This window comes from Homo sapiens, chromosome 19 (assembly GCF_000001405.40).
Source record: "Homo sapiens chromosome 19, GRCh38.p14 Primary Assembly".
Taxonomy (NCBI): Eukaryota; Metazoa; Chordata; class Mammalia; order Primates; family Hominidae; genus Homo; species Homo sapiens.
This window is the reverse complement of record NC_000019.10, coordinates 7651046-7675828: the sequence shown is the minus strand read 5'-3', so window position 1 is coordinate 7675828 and position 24783 is coordinate 7651046. Positions and strand designations below refer to the sequence as shown.

Sequence of the window (24783 nt, the reverse complement as noted above, 5' to 3'; positions counted from 1 at the left end):
GGCCAGGAGTTTGAGACCAGCGTGAGCAACATAGCAAGACCCTGTCTCTTTAAATGTTTTTTAATAATTTTTTTTTGAGACAGGGTTTCACTCTGTTGCCCAGGCCGGGGTGCAGCAGCGTGATCATGGCTCACTGCAGCTTTGACCTCCCTGGCTCAAGTAATCCTTCGTCCTCGGCTTCCCGAGTAGCTGAAATTACAGGTGGGCACGACTTCACCTGGCTAATTTTTCTCCTTTTTTGAGATGGAGTTTTGTGCTTGTCACCCAGGCTGGAGTGCAATGACGCTATCTCAGCTCACTGCAACCTCCGCATCCCAGGTTCAAGTCATTCTCCTGCCTCAGCCTCCCAAGTAGCTGGGATTACAGGCATGCACCACCACCCCCGGCTAATTTTGTATTTTTAGTAGAGACGGGGTTTCCCCATGTTGGTCAGGCTGGTCTCGAACTCCTGACTTCACGTGATCTACCCGCCTTGGCCTCCCAAAGTGCTGGGATTACAAGCATCAGCCACCGTGGCCCAGTCTAATTTTTCTTATTTTTTGTAGAGATGAGGGTCTCAATATGCCGTCCAGGCTGGTCTTGATCTCCTGGGTTCAACTGATCCTCCAGCCTTGGTCTCCCAAAGTGCTGGGATTACAGGCATACATTTTTATTTTTATTTTTTTCTGGCCAGGTGTGGTGGCTCACGCCTGTAATCACAGCACTTTGGGAGTCTGAGGCGGGCGGATCACCTGAGGTCAGGAGTTAGAGACACCAGCCTGACCAATATGATAAAACCCTGTCTCTACTAAAAATGCAAAAATTAACTGGGCGTGGTGGCAGGCGCCTGTAATCTCAGCCACTCGGGAGGCTGAGACAGGAGAATCACTTGAACCCGGGAGGTGGAGGTTGCAGTGAGCCGAGATCGCGCCATTGCACTCCAGCCTGGGCAACAAGAGCAAAACTCCGTCAAAAAAAAAAAAAAAAAAAGAAAAAAGAAGAAAGAAGAAAGAAGGAAGGAAGGAAGAAGAAAAGAAGAAAAAACAAGTATAAGACTGTCTTATGTGCAGAAAGTGATGATGTTTTGGTTAAAAATATGTGGTTAAATTTCAGACAACTTGAATGTTGAGAAATGAGCGTCGAGATCTGGTGAGGATAAAGTTCTGTTTCCTAAAATATTGCCAAATCCTGTGTCTCCAAGAAAGATCAATTTGATAATGACTTCATGCCAGCTGCTCCATTTGGTCTTAGAAAGAAGTCAGTTACTGAGCTATAGGACCGCCTTCTAATGGAGCAGACGGACCAATTGGATGTGGGCTCTGCCTTGATGGACAGGCACAGGGGGTGGAGCCACAGCGTTGCACATTTCCCGGGCTTGGGTGGGGCTGAGACGCGGCTCCAGGCTCTGGACTTCCTTTGAGAAAAAGGTCACGCTAAACCAGAGGCCCACAAGCAATCATGTCATGTGGGAAACATCTGCAAAGCTGCCTGACCAGCACCCGTCCCTTTCATAGGGTAACATTCTCAATTTTCTTTTAAGAAAGAAAATGTGTGCTAGATCCAGCAAACCATAAGCTAGGGATTGGTTTACAGTGGACAAATGATCCAGACCCAGCCAACCAGAGTCTAAGATTGGGCAGAGAGGCGGGCATTTGAGCAAGATCCAGCCAATGAAACGCTGGTCTGGGATTTTTATTGGTTTAACCACGGGGGAAAAAGCATTCTCTTTTTTTTCCAGCCCTCACTAGGGCTGCCACAATGGGAGGATGTAATGGGAGCTGTGACAGGGAAGAATTTACTTGAGAGCAAAGGCAGTGCTGAGAAAATCAGACCCGAGAGGAAGTCTGGGTCCTGGAGACATCATTTGAGACCCTGGTTCCAAGCCATACCTGAACCTGTTGTTCTAACCCTGGGCTTGTCAGTTACACAAACAAGAAACTTCCTTTTAGTTTTGCCCAAGCTAGTTTGAAGTGGGGTCTGTTGTACTTGCAAGCAGAAGAATCTTGCCTTGGCTGGTCTCTGTGGCCCACGCCTGTAATCCCAGCACTTTGGAAGGCCGAGGCAGGTGAATCACTTAAGGTCAGGAATTTGAGACCAGCCTGGCCAAAATGGCGAAATCCCCGTGTCTACTAAAAATACAAAAATTAGCCAGGAGTGGTGGTGGGCGCCTGCAATCCCAACTACTCAGGAGGCTGAAGCAGGAGAATCACTTGAACCTGGAGGTGGAGGTTGCAGTGAGCTGAGATCGTGCCACTGCACTCCAGCCTGGACAACAGAGTGAGACTCCATCTCAAAAAGGAAGAAGAAGAAGGAGGAGGAGGAGAAGGATGAGGAGGAGGAAGGAGGGAGGGAGGAGGGAGGAGGGAGGAGGATATCTTGCCTACCACAGGGGATCTAGGCATTAGCTATTGAGGAAATTGAGGCTCTAATAGGGGGTTTGCCTGTCCACATCACCTGGGCAGATATGACCTCCAAGTCTGCACTCTGGGGCAGGAGAATGTCTATGTTGGAATTGAGGAACCTGAAGAGAGCCCTCTTAGGTTTCAGATACAGGACTATTGGATGGGGGTGGAGACAAATAGTTCTGGGGACAATGGAGCATCCCCGCCCCCAACACACACACACAGCAGTAAGGGGCAGGGACACACACAAGGCACTAGACTCACCCTCTCTGGCCCTGGCCATGCTTCTAACTCAGTGGTCCTGCCCTACCCCCATGACCACTGTGGAGTCAGGAGAGAGGGTCTGGGAAGGGAATCCCTGGGCTGGAGTCTGGGTGGGGTCCCTGGCACCAGAAGTGGTTGTAATCTCTGCTCATGGCCACCAGCATCAGACAGGGGGCTGGGACCATCACAGGGGGTGGGTGGCAGTGGGAGGAGAGTCCAAAACATCCTGCAAACCAGAACCTCACTCTATCATCTGTTGTCCAGGTGTGACATTTGAGTCTGGGATCCCTTTCAAGACTAGGTGCTAGGAATTCTGAAGTCTGTGGTGGGAAATCAGGGACTGGATGGCAAGACTCCTGGGTCAGGCTTCCTGTAGAACTGGACCCCGAATCACCTGAATTTGTGCCCCAGGGAGCTGAGGCGGGGGATGCTGAGGCTTTTGCCCACTAGAACAGGGGTCCCCAGCCACCGGGCATTGGGAACGGGGCCTCACAGCAGGAGGTGAGTGGTGGGCGAGCGAGAGAAGCTTCATCTGTATTTACAGCCACTCCCCATCATTCGCATTACCACCTGAGCTCCACCTCCTGTCAGACCAGCAGCAGCATTAGATTCTCATAGGAGCAAGAATCCCATCGTGAACTGCGCATTTGAGGGATGTAGCTTTCTCACTTCTTATAAGAATCAAATGCCTGGTAATCTGTCGCTGTCTCCCATCACCCTCAGCTGGGACCATCTAGTTGCAGGAACACAAGCTCAGGGCTCCCACCGATTCCACATTATGGTGAGTTGTAGAATTATTTTATTCTATATTACAATGTCATAATAATAAAAATAAAGTGAATAATAAATGTAATGCGCTTGAATCACCCAGAAACCATCCCCGCTCCCCCCCTACCCCATACACACACCAACTGTCTTCCATGAAAACAGTCTCTGGTGCCAAAAAGGTTGGGGATCGCTGCACTAGGGTATCAGATACTTATCCAGGTGCAGTGGGGACTAGAGTCAGAAATGCAAGAGTCTGCCTGGAGCATGTGTGTGTTTGTGTCCTGCATCATCTCTGCCCACCATAGTCAAATCTGCGATTCTCCGTGCATTGGCCGGGGGGGTGGTGCCTTTCTGTGTCCAAGAGTGTCTAGGGGCACATGGGTGTGTCTGTGGATGTGGTGTCTCCATGTGGCCGTGGTAGGTGGGTTGTGTACTCTGTGTGTGCACGTGGCTGTGTATAGCTGTGTGTGCATGTGCAGTATGTGCACGTCGGTGCTGTATCTAAGTGCACATGTGGCTACTGATCAACAGACATTTACTGAACGTCTACTGTGTTCCATGCTCTATTCTAAACCCTGGGGGCGCTGGGTGCAGTGGCTCATGCCTGTAATCCCAGCACTTTGGAAGGCCGAGGTGGGTGGATCACCTGAGGTCAGGAGTTTGAGACTAGCCTGGCCAACATGGTGAAACCCGCTCTCTACTAAAAATACAAATTAGCTGGGCATGGTGGTGGGCACCTGTAATCTCAGCTACTTGAGAGGCTAAGGCAGGAATATCACTTGAACCCAGGAGGCAGAGGTTGCAGTGAGCCGAGATTGTGCCACTGCACTCCAGCCTGGGCGCCAGAGTAAGACCTTGTCTCGAAAATAAAAATTAAAAAATAGGCCAGGCGCGGTGGCTCATGCATGTAATCCCAGCACTTTGGGAGGCTGAGGCGGGTGAATCGCTTGAGGCCAGGAGCTCAAGACCAACCTAGCCAACATGGTGAAACTCCTTCTCTACTAAAAATACAAAAATTAGCCAGGTATGGTGGCGAGCGCCTGTAGTCCCAGCTACGTGGGAGGCTGAGGCAGGAGAATCGCTTGAACCCAGGAGGCAGAGGTTGCGGTGAGCCGAGATTGCACCACTGCACTCCAGCCTGGGCAACAGAGCGAGACCCTGTCTCAAAAAAAAAAAAAGAAAGAAAGAAAGAAAAGAGAAGAGGGGAGAGGAGGGGAGGGGAGGGGAGGGGAGGGGAGGGGAGGGGAAGGGAAGGGAAGAAACGAAACCCTGGGGGGGATCTAGGAGCAGACAAGTCCCCTGCTCTGTGTTTTCATAATCTAGTATCCAGGAAGGGGTAAGCACCCTGCGTGTATCTGGTTGTAACTAACTACTCACAACTGCACTTGCCTGTGTGAAAACGTGAGCTTGTGATGATGCGTGACGTCAGGTAGGCGTCCCTGACTCTCCGTAACCCAACTTTGCCTGTGCCTTGGGGATTCCTCCTTGCAGGTAGGAAGTGAGGGGTACAGGTTCCAGCTCTGGGCTGAGACATGATTCAGGGTTCCACCCTGACCTGGGGCTCCTGGAGTCTTGGGGCCCTGGAGGGTCCCGTCCACTGCCCAGACTGACCCAGGTCCTCGATGAAGCCTCATTATGAGGACTGGGGGAAAAGGACCCAGCCACTTCCTGGGGAGGTCGGAGACCCCAGGGTGAGCGTCAAGGTAGCCTCAAAGATGAGACGTCACCTCTTGAAGGCAGCCATGAGCCTTGGGTGGGGACGTCACTAGAGGAAGTTCAGGCCCTATTTTCGGAGGAAGCAGTTGGAGACCCCATAGGAGGAAGGGCGATGGGGCAGTAGAAAGTCGCGGTGTCCCCGCCCCCTCCAGCAGCTACGCGCCCCACTCTCTTGGAGACGCTAGATCAGTCCCTCCGGGCCTACTAAAGAAACCACGCAGGGCTCAGATCCGCTCCATCATCATCATCATCATCATCATCATCATCTCCAGGTTTATTTCCAGCTCCCCCGCAACCCCTCCGGACCTGGAGCCGCCTCCGCCCGCGCTGTGCACGCGCTGCGCGCGACCTCAGGGCTGCACACGACAGCAGCGCGCTCCGGTCCAGTCCATGCCCGCGCACTGGCAGTGACATGTGGTCTCGGCGCGCACATCCCACGAGCCACAGGCGGAGCCACAAGTGCAGCCGGTGACGGCGAAGCCTGCAGCCCGGAACACAGGAGCGTGGACTCTGAGCTGGGAGGCTGAGGGTGGGAGCGGGAGGGGGGTGGGGAGCGCGGAGGGGGGTTGGGGGGGCGGGGGTGGGGACGGGGACGGCTGGAGGCTCCAACCACTGAATGGGCACTGGAGGCAGGGAGTGAGGGTGGACACCAGTGTCCAGATGGTGGGCGGAGAAGGCTGGGAGTCAGGACCAAGATCCTAGGGGAGTAGAGGCTGGACACGGGGAACGTGGCGGGGAGGGGGCATTCCCAGGGGACTTGGAACAGAAATGGGCGCCTGGACAACAGTCTCCTGCACTCACCTCGGGGGCAAGTAGCCAGGTCCCCCCTGGAGGTGACGCTCTGGCACTCCAGGCCAATGCTGCTTATTGCCCTAAATACTGGGGGGCAGGAGGAAAGGAGACAGGGGGAGCTGTGAGACCAAACGGTCCCTCCCCCATCCTCCCCTAGCCCTGTTGGTTTGGAGCTAGGTCCCTGTGGGCATAGGAGCTCACTGGCCTCCAGGACCCTGTCTTGAGTTGGGTGTTTTGGAGTAAGGGAAGGTTTGGAGTGAGAGCGGGGATTGGGTTTGGAGCCGTGGATAAGGTGGGGACAGTCGGAGGGGTTGGGAGTGGAGTTGGGGTTGAATTTATGATCTGGTTGGATTTGAGGATGAGATTTGGTGAGCGCTGGGGCTGGGTTGGAGTCAGGTCTGTGCCAGGGATCAGTGAGGTCTCTGAGACCCTTGGGGAGCTTGCCCAAGTGGGGGGTCCTCACTTAGGGAGCCGGCGACCTCCTGGATCCTCTCATTGATGGCTTCTTCCATGGAGCACAGGGTCTTGCTAGACACCAACAGCCCCAGGACAGGGAGGAGGAGGAGACAGAGAGCTTTCATCCTGCAGGCGCTGAAAGAGGGAACCAAGAGACCCACAGCTGGATCAGCCCTGCCCTGTGGGGAAGATCCGGCCCATGGAGGGAGTAGGATCTGCCCCTGGACCTGGACCCCTGTCCCCCCATGTGGGGGACAGGGATGGAGGCTCAGCCTTGACCCCAGCCTCCCCGCTGGTGCCATGGCAAGCGCAGGAGCAGCTGTCACTTACCCTCTCGGTGGGCTCAGCTAACCAAATCCGGCACACGAATTCCTGCACCGCAGCTCTTTCTTTGAGGCCTCTTGGGGTGGGGCTTCCTGGCTTGGCTAATAAGTCCCTGGGCCCCCAACCCTCCGGTCCCACATCCGGGGCCAAGAGGAAGCCCCTGAGCAGACAGTAAGGGCTGGAGGAGGAAGGGAGCCTTCCCACTTCCAACAGGGCCTCCGTCTTCATGTCCAGAGACTGGTCAGGAGGTGGTGCCCCAGGGATAATGCCAGGGGCTGTGGTCTGAGGAACAGGTAGACAAGCAGAGTTTTGCATGCAAGGGTGGCTGATGCAAACATGACAAAATTAATGCCTCTTGCTAGGCATGGTGCGGACAAGCACTTGTAGTCCCAGCTACTAAGGAGGCTGACGTGAGAGAATTGCTTGAGCCCGGGAGTTCGAAGCTACAGTGACTTATGATCACAGCACTGCACTCCAGTCTGGGCAACAGAGCAAGACCACTTCTCTAAAATAGTAATAATAATTATGTCTCTGGGTGAGAATGACATACCACATTCATACCCAAATGCCCATGAGCAATAGAACTGGTAAATAAAATCATGGTTTATGGCCGGTGGCTCACGCCTGTAATCCCAGCACTTTGGGAGGCCAAGGCGGGCGGATCACTTGAGGTCAGGAGCTTGAGACCAACCTGGCCAACATGATGAAACCCTGTCTCCATTAGACATACAAAAATTAACTGGGCGTGGTGGCGTGTGCCTGTAATCCCAGCTACTTGGGAGGCTGAGGTGGGAGAATCACTTGAACCCGGGATGTGGAGGTTGCAGTGCACTGAGATCGTGCCCCTGCACTCCATCCTGGATGACTAGCTTGGGCACCATAGCAAGACTCCATCTCAAAAAGAAGAAAGAAAAATCATGGTTTATTCCATCAATGGCATCACCTGCAACAGAAGTTGGAAAGCCATTGCTCATGGGCCAAGGTCCAGCTCATGTTTCTTCTTGGACCACCCATGAGCTTGGAATGGTTATTACATTTTTATTTGTTCTTTGTTTCCAGTACAACGGGCCTTTTTGTGGTAAAATACATATAACATACAACTTACCATTATAACTTACTTTTTTCTTTTTTGAGACGGAATCTTGCTCTGTCGCCCAGGCTGGAGTGCAGTGGCGCGATCTCGGCTCACTACAAGCTCCGCCTCCTGGGTTCACGCCATTCTCCTGCTTCAGCCTCCCAAGTAGCTGGGACTACAGGCGCCTGCCACCACGCCCAGCTAATTTTTTGTATTTTTTTTTTTTTAGTAGAGATGGAGTTTCACCGTGTTAGCCAGGATGGTCTCGATCCCCTGACCTTGTGATCTGCCCGCCTTGGCCTCCCAAAGTGCTGGGATTACAGGCGTGAACCACCGTGCCCGGCCTTTTTTTTTTTTTTTTTGAGACGGGGTCTTGCTATGTTGCCCAAGCTAGTGTCAGACTCCTGGCTTCAAGTAATCCTCCCACCTTGGACTCCCCAGTAGCTGAAGCTACAGGTATGCACCATCTTGTTCCATTTTAACCATTGCTTTTGTTTGTTTCTTTGTTTCAGAGTCTCACTCAGTTGCTCAGGCTGGAGTACAGTGGCTCAATCTTGGCTCACTGCAACCTCCACCTCCTGGGTTCAAGCAATTCTCCTGCCTCAGCCTCCCGAGTAGCTGGGATTACAGGCGTGCACCACCATGCCCGGCTAATTTTTTGTATTTTTAGTAGAGATGGGGTTTCACCATGTTGGCCAGGCTGGTCTCAAATTCCTGACCTCAAGTGATCCACCCGCCTCAGCCTCCCAAAGTGCCGGGATTACAGGTGTGAGCCACCATGCCCAGCCTATTTTAACCATTTTTCAGAGCACAATTCTGTGGCAATAAGCACATTCATGTTGTTATGTAGCCACCACTGCCGTCCATCTCCAGAACTTTCTCCTCTTTCCAAACTGAAACTCTGTCCCCATGAAACACTCACTCCCTATCCCTCTCCCCAGCCCCTGGCACCCTCCATCTTGCTTTCTGCCTCTATGGATCTGATGACTCTAGGGACCTCCTAGGAGTGGAATCACACAGTGTTTGTCCTTTTGTATCTGCTTATTTCACTGAGCATAATATCCCCAAGGTTCATCCCTGCTGTAGCCTGAGTCAGAACTGTTTTCCTTTCCATGGCTGTATCACATTCCCTTGTGTGGATGAACCACGTTGTGTTTATTCCTTCATCCATCGATGGACACTTGGGTTGCTTCCAGCTTTTGTTTTGTTTTTTTGTTTGTTTGTTTGTTTTTGTTAGTTCACGTCTTTTGTGGGTTTTCTTTCTTTTTTGAGATGGAGTCTCACTCTGTTGCCCTGGCTGGAGTGCAGTGGCACGATCTCGGCTCACTGCAAGCTCCGCCTCCCGGGTTCACTCCATTCTCCTGCCTCAGCCTCCCGAGTAGCTGGGACTATAGGCGCCCGCCACCATGCCCAGCTAATTTTTTTGTATTTTTAGTAGAGACGGGGTTTCACCATGTTAGCCAGGATGGTCTCGATCTCCTGACCTTGTGATCCGCCCGTCTCGGCCTCCCAAAGTGCTGGGATTACAGGTGTAAGCCACTGCGCCTGGCCGTCTTTTGTTAATTCATACAGTTATTTGTCTTCTGGTTTGTTGAAGCAGTAAGTCAGACAACATTTGCCACAATAATGTCTGTCAAAGTGGCTTGCCATAAACACTGCAGCACCACATTCATCAGAAGGGCAACCTCGACGAAGGTGACTAATTTTGCCATTCTCATCCACCTTATAATATTTCAGGACAGCCAGCTTCACCTTCTTTCTCTTGTGCTTATTCGTCTTGCAGGTAAGACTTCTTCTTCTGGCCGGGCTCAGTGGCTCAGGCCTGTAATCCCAGCACTTTGGGAGGCCGAGGCAGGTGGATCACGAGGTCAGGAGTTCAAGACCAGCCTGGCCAACATGGTGAAATCCTGTCTCTACTAAAAATACAAAAATTAGCTGGGCGTGGTGGCACGTGCCTGTAATCCCAGCTACTCGGGAGGCTGAGGCAGGAGAATTGCTTGAACTGGGACCCGGGAGGCAGAGGTTGCAGTGAGCCGAGATTGCACCACTGCACTCCAGCCTGAGCTACAGAGCGAGACTCCATCTCAAAAAAAATAAAAAAAAGACTTCTTCCTTTCCTTAGCACCACCACGAATTCTCAATACAAGATGAAGAGGAGACTCCTTTTGAATGTTGTAGTCAGACAGAGTACGCCCATCTTCCAGTGCTTGTCTTTGCTGATCAGGAGGAATTCTTTCTTTACCCTGGATCTTGGCCTTTACATTTTCTACCATATCTGAGGGTTCAGCCTCGAGGGTGGTGGTCTTCCCTGTAAGGGTTTTCAGGAAAATCTACATTTTGGTGGCGGCTCCACCACAGATGGCGGATCTAAAAGGTTTTTGTTTTTTGTTTTTTTGAGACAGAGTTTCGCTCTTGTCACCCAGGCTGGAGTGCAAGTGGCACGATCTTGGCTCACTGCAACCTCTGACTCCTGGGTTTAAGTGATTATCCTGCCTCGGCCTCCGAGTAGCCAGGATTACAGGCATGTGCCACCACCACACCTGGCTAATTTTTTTTTCTTTTGTATTTTTAGTAGAGATGGGGTTTTGCCATGTTGGCCAGGCTGGTCTCAAACTCCTGATCTGGAGTGATCCGCCTGCCTCGGCCTCCCAAAGTCCTGGGATTACAGGTGTGAGCCACTGTGCCTGGCCTGCTTCTGCCTTTTGGCTATTGTGAATAATGCTGCTCTGAACATAGATGTGCAAATATCTGTTTGCAGCTCCTGCTTTCAATTCTTCTGGGCGTATGTCCAGGAGTAGTGCTGCCTGATCATATGGTAATTCTATGTTTAACTTTTTGAGGCACTGCCAATTTTCACATTTTTAAACCATAGGGAAAAAAAAGTTGTTTTTTTTTTAAAAAAGACACAGTCTGGCTCTGTTTTCCACGCTGGAGTGCAATGGTGCAATCATAGCTCACTGCAGCCTCAAACTCCTGGGCTCAAGCAATCCCCCCCTCATCAGCCTCTTGAGTAGGTGGGACTACGGCATGTGTCACCACACCTAACTAATTTTTTTAATTTTTTTGTAGAGGTGGGGTCTCACTCTATTGCCCAGGCTGGTCTCAAACTCCTGGCCTCAAAAGATCCTGCCACCTTAGCTTCCCAAAGCACTGAGATTACAGGCATGAGCCACTGTGCCTAGCCAAAAAATATTTGTAATGTTTAGTGAAAATAGAAATCATATAAAATTCAAATTCATATAATTTTCATAAAAAGTCCATAAAGAAAATTTTCTTAAAACATTGTCAGCTGGGTGCGGTGGCTCATGCCTGTAATCACAGCACTTTGGGAGGCTAAGGCGGGTGGATCACCTGAGGTCAGGAGTTCAAGACCAGCCTGGCCAATGTGGTGAAACCCCATCACTACTTACAATACAAAATTAGCCGGGTGTGGTGGCACGCGACTGTAATCCCAGCTACTTGAGAGGCCGAGGCAGGAGAATTGCTTGAACCCGGGAGGTGGAGGTTGCAGTGAGTCAAGATGGTGCCCTTGCACTCCAGCCTGGGCAACAAGAGCGAAACTCTGTCTCAAAAAAAAAAAAAATTGCCAAGCTCAGTGGCAGGCACCTGTCATCCTAGCTACTTGAGAGACCAAAGCAGGAGGATTGTTTGAGCCCAGGAGTTTGAGGGCAGCCTGAGCAACATAGTGAGATCCTGTCCCTACAAACACACACACACAGTTTGCTACCCCCTTTTTTTTGAGAGGGAGACTCGCTCTTGTCACCCAGGCTGGAGTGCAGTGGCACGACCTTGGCTCACCGCAACCTCTGCCTCCCGGGTTAAAGCGATTCTCCTGCCTCAGCCTCCCGAGTAGCTGGGATTATAGGCAGGTGCGCCACCATGTCCGGCTAATTTTTGTATTTTTAGTAGAGATGGGATTTCGCCATGTTAGCCAGGCTGGCTTCGATCTCCTGATCTCAAGTGATCCGCCCGCCTTGGCCTCCCAGAGTGCTGAGACTATAGGCATGAGCCACTGCACCTGGCCCCATTTTTTAATATATCATCAGTGACTGCTATCACATGTCCATGGCAGAGCTCAGCAGCTGTAGAGTGGTTGGACAGTAGGGCCCCCAAAGCTGAGAATGTTTACTATCTGACTCGTTACAGAAAACATTTTTTTGTACCCCTGGTATGTGGTGATGAGTGAGAATGAGACAACTGTCCATGGATTACAGCTACACCCAACCATGTGGCTGATTCTCACGAACATATGTTAGCATAGAAGCCAGACCCCAAAAAGAACATACCATACAAATCCATTTATTAAAAAAAAAGGGGGCCGGGCGCGGTGGCTCCTGCCTGTAATCCCAGCACTTTGGGAGGCCAAGGCAGGCGGATCACAAGGTCAGGAGATCAAGACCATCCTGGCTAACACGGTGAAACCCCATCTCTACTAAAAATCCAAAAAAATTAGCCGGGCGTGGTGGCAGGCACCTGCAGTCCCAGCTCCTCGGGAGGCTGAGGCAGGAGAACGGTGTGAACCCGGGAGGCGGAGCTTGCAGTGAGCCGAGATGGCGCCACTGCACTCCAGCCTGGGCGACAGAGCAAGACTCCGTCTCAAAAAAAAAAAAAAATACCTAAAAATACAAAAATTAGCCAGGTGTAGCGGCAGGTGCCTGTAATCCCAGCTACTCGGGATGCTGAGGGAGGAGAATCGCTTGAACCAAGAGGTGGAGGTTGCAGTGAGCTGAAATCATGCTACTGCACTCCAGCCTGGGCAACAGAGAGAGACTCCGTCTCACAATAATGATAATAATAATAAATGAAATACAAACAAAACTAATTTATGCTGTCGGAAATGACGATGGAAGAGTCCTGGGGAATCAGAGATAGTGGTGATAAAAGCATACCAGGAAGGCCCCTAGTGAGGGGGGAATTTTGTAAAAGTTTTCAGCTGTAACTCTCATTTGCACAATTTTCTCTATGTATTTATATTTCAATCAACATGATGCATGTGTATTAAAGCCCTGTGTAAATGCAACGGTGCACACAGGTTCAAAGCGCAGGCAATATTTATTGAGCAACTATTATGTTCCATATGCTGTGTTAAACACCATGCATACACTAAGAAGCAGAGGGATGCTGCCCTTGCCCGGGACGAGTTGGCCCTTGTCAGTCAGGGAAAGGCAGACACCAACAGAACAGCAATAAAAAGGCCGGGCAATGGGCCAGGCGCGGTGGCTCATGCTTGTAATCCCAGCCTTTTGGGAGGCCGAGGCGGGTGGATCACCTGAGGTCGGGAGTTCGAGACCAGCGTGACCAACATGGAGAAACCCCTTTTCTACTAAAAACACAAAATTAGCCAGGCGTGGTGGCACACCAGGTGGGTAGCTGTAATCCTAGTTACTCGGGAGGCTGAGGCAGGAGAATTGCTTGAACCCGGGAGGCGGAGGTTGTGGTGAGCCAAGGTTGTGCCATTGCTTTCCAGCCTGGGCAACAAAAAGCAAAACTCCATCTCAAAAAAAAAAAAAAAAGTCCGGGCGCCATGGCTCACACCTGTAATCCCAGTGCTTTAGGAGACCGAGGTGGGTGGATCACTTGAGCCCAGGAGTTCAAGACCAGCCTGGCCAACACAGTGAGACCCTCCCTCTGTACAAAACGTAAGAAAACATTAGGCAGGGATGGTGGTGGCTTCCTGTAGTCCCAGCTACTCAGGAGGCTGAGACAGAAGTACCGCTTGAGTCCAGGAGTTGGAGACTGCAGTGAGCTATGATCGCACCACTGCACTCCAGCCTGGACAACAGAGCAAGACCCCATCTCTAAAAAAAAGAAAACAAAAAAACAACAACAAAAAACACCAATAGAATGCTCAATCAGCCATCAGCCTCAAGGACCCTTCCATCTCCCAAGGAGAGGAACCCTTTTCCGTGAGAACCTCTGACCTAAAAATCAACCCCACATGGGGGAATCCAGAAAGTATTTTGGGGGGAGGAAAAGATGTTTGAAGGGAGGGTGGAGGATGCAGAAGGGTTAACCAGGAGAGGCAGTTAGGGAGGGCCTTCTGGGTGGAGGGAGAGGACTGCATGTTCCAAGGACCTGAGGCAGAATGGAGTGTGTGTATTTAGAGGAACTGAAAGCAAATTTGTGGGACAGGGGATCTAGAGGGGAAAAGTGAATTCCACAGGCTCCCTGTCTCTTCTGGTCCTAGCAGGAACTTTCAAGTCCGTTTTTGTCCAGATATTTCCCCATGCTCAAGTCCCAGCTCATCCTGCCTCCTTGAAGACATGACTTCTGTCTCTTCTTGAGCTACTCTTTGACACACCCTGGACAAAGGGTAGCTTGAAAAGAGACAGAAACCATGTTATTGCCAGGTGCAGTGGCTCACGCCTGTCATCCTTGTGCTTTGGGAGGCTGAGGCAGGAGGATCGCTTGAGGCCAGGAGCTTGAGACCAGCCTGGACAACATAACAAGACCCCATCTCTACAAAGATAAAAGGGAAAAAGCCGGGCGCAGTGGTTCACGCCTGTAATCCCAGCACTTTGGGAGGCCAAGGTGGGCAGATCACCTGAGGTCAGGAGTTCGAGACCAGCCTGGCCAACATGGCGAAACCCCGTCTCTACTAAAAATACAAAAATTAGATGGGCGTGGTGGCGGGCACCTGTAATCCCAGCTACTCGGGAGGCTGAGGCAGGAAAATCACTTGAACCCAGGAGGTGGAGGTTGCAGTGAGCTGAGATTGCACCACTGCACTCCAGCCTGGGCGACAGAGTGAGCCTTGGTCTCAATCAATCAATCAATCAATCAATGGAAAAAAATTAGCTGGGTGTGGTGGTCCATGCTGGTAGTCCCAGCTACTGAGGAGGCTGGGGTGTGAGGATCACTTGAGCCCAGGAAGGCTGAGACTGCAATGAGCTATGATGGCATCACTGCACTCCAGCCTGGACAACAAAGCAAGATCCCGTCTCAAAAAAAAAGAAGAAAAAGAAAAATCATTTTTTGAGAGCTCTGATTTTCAAACCCTTTGTTCTCAGAACTCTTCGGGTAAAACCTTTTGAACGACACAAAAGGAGTGGGCAGCTGTGATGACAGATTGAGGAGAAAGCAGGGTAGGCATGGAACCTCTAGGGTTCCCTAGGGACCCAGTTTGAAAACTCTTGGTTCAGTAGCAGGAAAAGGCAATATGCCCCTTAATTCTCTTCTAAAACATAAAATCCTTTAACTTCCTCTGATTTCTACCAGTAAAACTGAGCTCTACTGACCTCAATTTTGTACCAAATGCTATCTAATAAAATCCCAGAAACAGTGATTTTTGAAAAATCCATTTTGTTGATGTGTAATTTACATACAGTAGAATGTGCCTATCTTATGTGTTTGGTTTCATGCATTGTTTTTCTTTTTCAACTTTTTAAATTTTTTTTTTTTTTTGAGACAGGGTCTCACTCTGTTGCCCAGGTTGGCGTGCAGTGGCACAATCTCGGCTCACTGCAACCTTCGCCTCTCGGGTTCAAGCAATTCTCCTGCCTCAGCCTCCTGAGTAGGTGGGACCACAGGCACGCGCCACTACACCCAGCTAATTTTTGTATTTTTAGTAGAGACAGGGTTTCTCCATGTTGGCCAGGTTGGTCTCGAACTCTTGACCTCAAGTGATCCACCCACTTCGGCCTCCCAAAGTGCTGGGACCACAGGCACACACCACCACGCCCAACTAATTTTTGTATTTTTCATAGAGATGGGGTTTCACCATGTTGCCCAGGCTGGTCTCAAACTCCTGGCCTCAAGTGATCTGCCTGCCTTGGCCTCCCAAAGTGCTGGAATTACAGGCATAAGCCACCATGGCCAGCCCTCTTTATCAACTTTTATTTATTTTTTCATTTTTTTGAGACGGAGTCTCGCTCTGTTGCCCAAACTGGAGTGCAGCGGTGCGACCTCAGCTCACTGCAACCTCCGCCTCCCGGGTTCAAGCGATTCTCCTGCATCAGCCTCCCAAGTAGCTGGGATTACAGGTGCCCGCCACCACGCCCATCTAATTTTTGTATTTTTAGTGGAGACGGGGTTTCACCATGTTGCCCAGGCTGGTCTCGAACTCCTGGCCTCAAAGCGACCTGCCCGCCTTGGCCTCCCAAAGTGCTGGGATTACAGTTGTGAGCCGCCGCGCCCGGGACCCTCTTTATCAACTTTTATTTTAGATTCAGGGGATACCTGTGCCAGTCTCCTACCTGAGTATATTGCATGATGCTGAGGTTTGGGGTATGAGCGACTCTGTCACCCAGATGGTGAGCACAGCACTCAACAGTTAGATTTTCAACCCTCATGCCCCTTTTCCTCACCCCTCCCTGGCAATCCCCACTGTTCATTATTGCCACCTTTATGTCCATGAGTACCTGAAGTTTAGATCCCACTTATAAGTGAGAACAGGCAGTCTTTGGTCTGCTGTTACTGAGTTTGATGCATTTTGACAAATGTGTCTACCTGCCTGCTGCACGTTTTGGTTTTCCCAAGAATTATTTTCTAAAAATCAGTTTTTATTAAGGTGGCATTTATATACACTAAAATTCTGCACACGATCTTGTAACCATCACCACCAAATACGTATTTATTTATTTATTATTATTTTTTAGAGATGGCGTCTCACTCTGTCTCGATCTCCCACGCCGGGGTGCAGTGGTGCCATCAGAGCTCACTGCATCCTCCAACTCCTGGGCTCAAGCGATCCTCCTGCCTCAGCCTCCTGAGTAGCTAGGACTACAGGCACCCACCACCACCCACAGTTAATTGAAAAAATTGATTCTTCTTTGTAGAGACAGGGTCTCATATGTTGCCAGGATCCTTGGTCTTTGACCTCCCAAAGTGCAGAGATTACAGGCATGCACCACTAATGCCGGGCCAAATACTTGTAATTTAAATTATCGCTGGGCTGGGCACGGTGGCTCACGCCTGTAACCCAGCACTTTGGGAGGCCGAGGGGGGAAGTTCACCTGAGGTCAGGAGTTCCAGACCAGCCTGGCCAACATGCTGAAACCCTGTCTCAACTAAAAATACAAAAATCAGCCGGACATTGTGGCAGACGCCTGTAATCCCAGCTAATCGGGAGGCTAAGACAGGAGAATCGCTTGAACCCGGGAGGCAGAGGTTGCAGTGAGCCGAGATCGCACCATTGTGCTCCAACCTGGGCAACAAGAGCGAAACTCCATCTCAAAAAATAATAATAAAATAAATTATAGTTGGAAAAAAGGGGTTTCCTAAAGACCCAAGGGAAATGGCCTCTTTGTTCCTGAAGCCACAGAGAGGATTTTTCTGCTCCCCACAACTAGTTTTCCTTGTGAAAATTCATAATTGCTACCAGCTTGTTCTCCTCTCTGTCACTATACATCTGTCCTTGAAGCCTTATTTGAACAAAGAGTTCTGGTATCACTCGGATGCCTAGAAACTGTTGCCGTTCTGTGAAACCGACCACCAGAGGAAACCCATGCTTCTCATTGGCTGCCTTACTAAGATGGTGACTTGTTGCCCTGGTGACAAGTTGCAATGACAGGTGGCTCTGCCAAATCAGAACACAGTGATACTTGCTTCCCCTCCCGGGTGAAGGATGGAAAATAAAAGTAAAAGCCTTGGCGGCTGTCAGGCTTCTTTACCAAAGAGCTGGAGAGCACTCCTTGGCCCCATTTATGCAAACACTTCCCATCTACAGATGATCCAGCTTCGGAGTGGGAGTCTAAGCAGCTGCCAGGACCACCGCTTGGCAGAGGACAGGCTGGGGGCTCTGGCATGACCTGCTGGGGCCAGGCTGTGACTTGGAGCAAGAGGTAGCAAGAACCTCGAGGCAGTGAACATCAAAAGAGAGATTTCCGGGGCTAAACACCCTAGGTTTTTCCTTCCTCCTGAACCCTAACCCTAACCCTCTCGGCTCACTGCAACCTCCACCTCCCGAGTGCAAGCAATTCTCATGCCTCAGCCTCCCGAGTAGCTGGGATCACAGGCGTGCGCCACCACGCCCGGCTAACTTTGTATTTTTATTAGAGACGGGGGTTTCTCCACGTTGGTCAGGCTGGTGTCAAACTCTCGAACTCAGGTGATCTGCCCGCCTTGGCCTCCAAAAGTGCTGGGATTACAGGCGTGCGCCACCGTGCCCAGCTTATTTTTGTATTTTTAGTAGAGGTGGGGTTTCACCCTGTTGGCCAGGCTGGTCTTGAACTCCTGAACTCAAGTGATCTGCCTGCCTCAGCCTGCCAAAATGCTGGGGTTACAGGCGCCAGGCCAAGTATCTTATTTTAAAAGGTTACAAAGAATATAGATGTGGATAAAATAAAAGTTTCTTTGCATTACCACTTTCCTGCAAGAAATGAGGGGGAGGGGCTTATGAAACAACTCACACCCCCCCAATTGAGGAACTGTAGATGAAAGGGAAGGTGCTGACAGGCCCGTCTGGCCACGGTTTCCTGGAATAAAACTGAGCCACACACCTCCACAAATCCCCAGCCTCCGGCAAGTACCCCAGAAGTACTCACACTCCACCACCTTCTGTGATCGCAACAGCCCTACGCAACATTACAGAGGGCAAAACCCACGCTGGGGAAGGCGGGGCTACTGTCAAAAGGTCACCAGGGCCAGGCACAGTGGCTCACGCCTATAATCCCAGCTCCTTGGGAGACCAAGGCAGGAGGATCCGTTGAGCTCAAGAGTTTGAGTTCAGCCTGGGCAACACAGGAAAACCCCCGTCTTTACAAAAACTTTTTAAAAATTAGCTGGGTGTGGTGGCATGCCCGTGTAATCCCAGCCACTACTTAGGAGGCCGAAGGGGGAGGATCTATTGCTTCAGCCCGGGAGTTTGTGGCTGCAGTGAGCTATGATTGCACCACTGCACTCCAGCCTAAGTGACAGACAGAGACTCTTAAAAAAAAAAAAAAAAGGGCAGGGCACGGTGGCTTATGTCTGTAATCCTAGCACTTTGGGAGGCCGAGGCGGGCAGATCATCTGGCGTCAGGAGTTCGAGGCCAACCTGGCCAATATGGTGAAACCCTGTCTCTACCAAAAGTACAAAACTTAGCTGGGTGTGATGGTGGGCACCTGTAATCCCAGCTACTCGGGAGGCTGAGGTGGGAGAATCGCTTGAATCTGGGAGGTGGAGTTTGCAGTGAGCCAAGATTGCGCCACTGCACTCCAGCCTGGGTGACAGAATGAGACTCTGTCTCAAAAAAAAAAAAAAAAAGTGGGGCACCTATATTCCCAGCACTTTGGGAAGCTGAGGCAGGAGGATGGCTTGAGGCCAAAAATTCAAAACCCGGCCTGGGCAACATAGCAAGACCCCATCTCTATGAAAAAAAAAAAAAAAAAGTCACCAGGCCAGCTAGCCTAGATTTCAGAGCCAGAATTTGTCTGATGCCATTGTCTTTACTTTTTCTTTTTCTTTTTTTTTTTTTTGAGACAGAGTCTCACTCTGTCACCCAAGCTGCAGGGCAGTGGGACAATCTCAGCTCACTGCAACCTCTGCCTCCCAGGCTCAAGCGATTCTCCTGCCTCAGCCTCCTGAGTAGCTGGGATTACAGACATCCACCACCATTTCCAGCTAATTTTTGTATTTTTAGTAGAGGTGAGGTTTCACCTTTTTGGTCAGGCTGGTCTCCAACTCCCAAGCTCAGGTGATCTGCCCACCTCAGCCTCCCAAAGTGCTGGGATTACAGTTGCGAGCCACCACGCCTGGACTGCTCTTCATTCTTTTTTCAGAACTTTCCCAGCTGCCAACAGAGACAGAAACTGAATCATCTCAGAAGTGAATGAAGGAGGCTGAGGGCGGGTGGACTGCTTGATTAGGAGTTCGAGATTTGCCTAGGCAACATGGAAAAAGCCTGTCTCTGCTAAAAATACAAAAATTAGCCGGGCGTGGTGGCACATGCCTGTAATGCCAGCTGCTTGGGAGGCTGAGGCAGGAGAATCACTTGAACCCGGGAGGCAGAGGCTGCAGCGAGCCGAGATCGCGCCACTGCACTCCAGCCTAGGTAACAGGGCGAGACTCCGCCTCAAAAAAAAAAGAAGGGAATGAAGGACACCCAAAATGGAGCCTCTGTCTGCCAGGGCTTTGCTATCCTGGCCTGCCTATCCCAGCCCTGGACACCTCATCTCTGATCCCACCAGAGCGGAACCTTCCCATTCGCAGGGCCATTTCCTTACCCAGAAACCTTTTCACAATGTTCTTGGCAGCAGCTGTTGGTCAACTGTGTTTTAAGGTTTTTGAGCAACTTTACAGAAAATAAAAGGGAAGCTACCCTCAATGTCTGGGTCTCCCCCTGGGTGGCCTCTCTTTGTCACCTTACTCATTTCCACGAGATTTCCTTGCTTCGTTGAGTTACATCACCTCCTTTTCCTGTCTGGGTCCAGGACGCCTCCTCTGCAGGTCTCCAGCACTGATTCCTTTGTCCCCGATTTCTCTGCTAGGGTCGCTGGCTTCACCATCCCACCACCACTGCTGCTGGCCCAGCCCGCAGCTTTAATTTCTCTGGACCCTCACGTTTTTGTTATTTGTGTTTTTTTTGGAGATGAGGTCTTGCTCTGTCACCCAGGCTGGAGTGCAGTGGTGCAATCACAGCTCACTGTAGCCTCCACCTCCCAGACTCAAGTGATCTTCCTGCCTCAGCCTCCCAAGTAGCTGGGTGTGTGCCACCAGGTGCAGCTACATTTTTTGTAGAGGCAGGGGTCTTGCTATATTGCCCAGGCTGGTCTCAAACTCCCAGCTTTAGATGATCCTTTCACCTCGGCCTCCCAGAGTGCTGGGATTACCAGCATGAGCCACTGCACCCGTCCTCTCATGTATTTTTTATTAATCGATTTATCTATTTACTTATTTTGAGACAGAGTCTTGCTGTACCACCCAGGCTGGAGTGCAGTGGCATGATCTCGGCCCACTGCAACCTCCACTCCCTGGGTTCAAGTGATTCTCCTGCCTCAGCCTCCCGAGTAGCTGGGATTACAGGTGCCCGCCACCATGCCTGGCTAATTTTTGTATTTTTAGTAGTGACGAGGTTTCACCGTGTTGGCCAGGCTGGTCTCGAATTCCTGACCTCAGGTGATCCACCCAACTCGGCCTCCCAAAGTGCTGGGATTACAGGCGTGAGCCACCGCACTCGGCCTCCCTCATGTATTTTTAAGCGGAACAGGTTCAAGATCACAAATGTTTTCCTCTCACTCTTTCAATGAGTTTCTATTCTAGAATCTCCTGCACGCCACAGGAAGGAGAACTCTCACCCTGTAATGCACATAAATACATGAGATCACCATTGTTCTCACCCAGTAATCAGAATCGTTAGTGATAATTAGTAATAAATTTATTTTTACTATATCTAATAAATTAGATAGTAATTACTATGGCAGCCAATCGTTCCTGGGTGCTCCCTAGATGCTTCCAAGGGAGCCACACGTGACCCTCAGGGCTGTGCCCATTCCAGGCTCTTCTGCTGAGCTCATGTAACCGCTTGCCTCAAGGCATTCCACAAATAATACATAAGTCAATGTATCACGTTGTCACTTTCTGTACAAACCAGCTAGTTCCGGAGGGAAGCAGAAAGCCTTTTTCAGAAGAACCACAGCTAATTCCAGTAGCAGGAATGATAAAGTTGGACATAATCCTCAAGAGAGTAATGAATCAAAAATGGATGGCGGGCCAGGCACGGTGGCTGATGCCTGTAATCCCAGCACTTTAGGAGGATGAGGCAGGTGAATCATTTGAGGTCAGGAGTTCAAGACCAGCTTGGCCACCATGGTGAGACCCCGTCTCTACTAAAAATACAAAAATTAGCCTGGCATGGTGGCTCATGCTTGTAGTCCCAGCTTCTTGGGAGGCTGAGGCAGGAGAATTGATTGAACCCTGGAGGTGGAGATTGCAGTGAGCCAAGATTGCATCACTGCACTCCAGCCTGGGCAACAAGAGCGAAACTCTATCTCAAAAACAAACAAACAAACAATAACAACAACAAAATTGATGGCTGCTAATGACTTTTTTTCTTTTCTTTCCTTTTTTATTTTTATTTTTTATGAGACAGGGTCTCACTCTATCGCCCAAACTGGAGTGCAGTGCCGAGATCATAACTCAGTGCAGCCTCAACCTCTTGGACTCAAGTGATCTTCCCACCTCAGCCTCCCATGTAGCTGGGACTACAAGCAATTGCTGCCACATCTGGCTAATTATTTTATTTTGTTGTATTTTATTTATTTATTTTTTGAGACAGAGTCTTACTCTGTCACCCAGGCTGGAGTGCAATGGCATGATCTCAGCTCACTGCAACCTCCGCCTCCTGGATTCAAGTTATTCTCCTACCTCAGCTTCCTGAGTAGCTGGGATAACAGGTGTGCACCACCACGCCTGGTTAATTTTTGGTTTTTTGGTAGAGACGGGGTTTCATCATGTTGGCCAGGCTGGTCTTGAACTCCTGACCTCAAGTGATCCGCCCATCTCAGCCTCCCAAAGTGCTGGGATTACAGGTATGAGCCACCGTGCCCGGTCTTTATTTTATTTTTAGTAGAGACAGGGTTTTGCTATGTTGCCCAGGCTGGTCTCAAACTCCTGGGCCTAAGTGATCCTCCTGCCTTGGCCTCCCAAAGTGCTGGGAACTACAGGCGTGAGCCACTGGGCCCAGCTCCTGTTAACATCTTTATGTGGAGAGTTACTGGGGACCAGGGACATTCCCCAAACCCACCCATCAATCGTAGTGACATGACGTTATGGACCCCCTGATGTGATGTACCAGGAAGTACCCGGCCCTACCAGCATGATATTATTCTGGCTGCAACTGACCCTTATTCCAATAGAGCATGTGGTTCTAAGCCATTTATAGGGTAAACATTGGGGCAGGGATGGGGAGAGAGGAAGCAACCTGCCAAATCCAGAATGAGGATCATTCCTCGGTACCAGAAGAGAACCAGAAAGAAAGCACCCTAAGTGGGGATACCACAAGGAAGTAAAGCAGGGGCCTCTCCCAGCTGGGGAAGGGAAGGAGGAAGGAGTACAATAGCTTGCAAGGCACAGCATTGCGGATGATGGGAATAGCAGGTGCAAAGGTTCTGGGGCAGGGACAGTGTGGTGTGTTTGAAGAACAGCAGCCAGGTTCACCATGAGATGGGAAATGGACTTGGGGGAAGGGATCTCAAAGGATAATTTTTTTTTTTTTTTTGAGACAGGGTTTCGCTCTTGTTGCCCAGGCTGGAGTGCAGTGGCATGATGGCTCACTGCAACCTCTGCCTTCCGGTTTCAAGCGATTCTCCTGCCTCAGCCTCCCGAGTAGCTGGGATTACAGGCGCCCACCACCACGCCCGGCTAATTTTTGTATTTTTAGTAGAGACAGGGTTTCACCATGTTGGCTAGACTGGTCTTGAACTCCTGACCTCGTGATCCGCCCGCCTCGGCCTCCCAAAGTGCTGGGATTACAGACGTGAGCCACCGCGCCCGGCCCCCCAACTTTTTTTTTGTTTTTAACACAACTTCTCGCTTTCTCACCCAGGCTGGAGGGCAGAGGCACAATCATAGCTCACTGCAGCCTCGAACTCCTAGGCTCCAGCGATCCTCACAGGAGGGTTTTGAGGATCTGCATAAAGCGTGCAGAGGGAGCTTGACTTCGTGCTCGTTAGGACCCGATATTGTCAGCTGCCGCCGCCCACAGGGACACATAAATATTTGTAGACTCAATATTTGCCTTTAGTGTGAAGACATTGCATCACCTGGGTATAAGTAAGGAGCAGAGGCAGAGGCGGTTTAAGCAACAGACTTTTGTCTCCGCTGAGAACCACGGAATAACCCCTGACCTACTTCCCCGTCGTGTCTAATTCGGGTCACCTCATCTCCAGTTACAGACGCGGAAGATCAAAGAAACCGGGAAATTGCGCCGCAGCGCCCCCTGGCGTTCGCAGCGCGTGCCTACACAAGCCACTCCCGGCGCAAAACTGCGGCTTCCCAGGAAATTGAGTTTAAATGTTTTTTTTTCTTTTTTCTTAATCTAGAAAAGATCATTTATTGTATCAAGTAACTACCCAGTTAGGCGTGAATACATTTTAAAATTTTTATTAAAACGAGTATTGGCCGGGCGCGGTGGCTCACTCCTGTAATCCCAGCACTTTGGGAGGCCAAGGCAGGTGGATCACGGCGTCAGGAGTTCGAGACCATCCCGGCCAACATGGTGAAACCCCGTCTCTACTAAAAATACAAAAATTAGCTGGGCGTGGTGGCACGCACCTGTAGTCCCAGCTACTCGGGAGGCTGAGACAGAAGAATCGGTTGAACCGGGGAGGCGGAGGTTGCAGTGAGCTGAGATCATGCCACTGCACTCCAGCCTGGGCGACGGAGCGAGACTCCATCTCCAAAAAATAAATAAATAAATAAATATAATATAATATAAAATAAAATAAAAAGAGTATTGTAGAGATTGGCTGGGCACAGTGGCTCACACCTCTAATTCCTGCATTTTGGGAGGCTGAGGTGGGAGGTCTTCAGCCCAGGAGTTAGAGACCAGCCTGGCCAACATGGCAAAACCCCATCTCTACTAAAAGTACAAAAATTCGCTGGGCATGGTGTCGCACGTCTGTGATCCCAGCTTTTTGGGAGGCTGAGGCAGGAGAATCGCTTGAACCCAGGAGGCAGAGGTTACAGTGAATCGAGATCGCACCACTGCACTCCAGCCTGGGCAACAGAGTGAGACCTTGTCTCAAAAATACATATATTTAGGAATTTGCTATGTTGCCCAGGCTGGCCTCAAACTCCTGGCCTCAAGCAATCCTCCCACCTCGCCCTCCCAAAGTGCTGGGATTGCAGGCGTGAGCCACTGTGCCCGACCTTGAGCTTAAGTTTTAAACATTAAAACCACCTCCCTCCCACTCCCTGCACCTCCCGTAAGTTAAAACGCGTCCCTGCTGAGGCCCTGCAAAGGCATATCCAGGGCAGGCGGACCCCAGGGGTCCACAGCCGACCCACTTTCTTCCCCACACCTCATCCCCTTCACAACTCTCCTCATCCATCTCCCTGCCCTGGTGGGAGATTCCGATAAATCCTAA

The 24783-nt window shown here is 50.6% G+C and overlaps 1 protein-coding gene and 1 pseudogene across 6 annotated transcripts, besides 1 other annotated feature; both read right to left on the bottom strand.

Annotated features, from left to right (window-relative positions):
* On the bottom strand, window positions 5374–6780 carry RETN (resistin). 5 transcript variants are annotated; one of them, NM_001385725.1, is made up of 4 exons: window positions 6708–6780; window positions 6385–6556; window positions 5931–6008; window positions 5374–5610 (listed from the first exon to the last, which is right to left on the bottom strand). In NM_001385725.1, the coding sequence occupies exons 2-4, from the start codon at window positions 6500–6502 to the stop codon at window positions 5480–5482; spliced, it is 327 nt and encodes a 108-aa protein (NP_001372654.1). In that variant the 5' UTR covers window positions 6503–6556; window positions 6708–6780; the 3' UTR covers window positions 5374–5479. The 5 variants fall into 5 exon arrangements, with proteins under 5 accessions (NP_001372654.1, NP_001372655.1, NP_065148.1 ...); NM_001385726.1 differs by having other exon boundaries at window positions 5374–5652; window positions 6385–6512; NM_020415.4 differs by having other exon boundaries at window positions 6385–6512.
* Window positions 9346–10150, bottom strand: RPS27AP19 (RPS27A pseudogene 19; annotated as a pseudogene). The gene is made up of 2 exons (XR_007067117.1): window positions 9883–10150; window positions 9346–9574 (listed from the first exon to the last, which is right to left on the bottom strand). The product of XR_007067117.1 is annotated as an RPS27A pseudogene 19 (transcript).
* Window positions 17558–17677: an enhancer, noted in NCBI's record as "active region_13891". NCBI's record gives its function as "activates an Ori minimal core promoter by ATAC-STARR-seq in GM12878 lymphoblastoid cells {active_cell/tissue: GM12878}" and the evidence as "EXISTENCE:reporter gene assay evidence [ECO:0000049][PMID:35858748]".

Excerpts from the sequence above, each read along its gene's own strand:
- RETN (NM_001385726.1), bottom strand. The coding sequence starts at position 6,502 with ATGAAAGCTCTCTGTCTCCTCCTCCTCCCTGTCCTGGGGCTGTTGGTG. Across the intron at positions 6,009-6,384 it reads GGAGGTCGCCGGCTCCCTAA|TATTTAGGGCAATAAGCAGC; the intron begins GTGAGGACCCCC and ends CCTGCCCCCCAG. Across the intron at positions 5,653-5,930 it reads CCTGGCTACTTGCCCCCGAG|CCTCCCAGCTCAGAGTCCAC; the intron begins GTGAGTGCAGGA and ends TCCCACCCTCAG.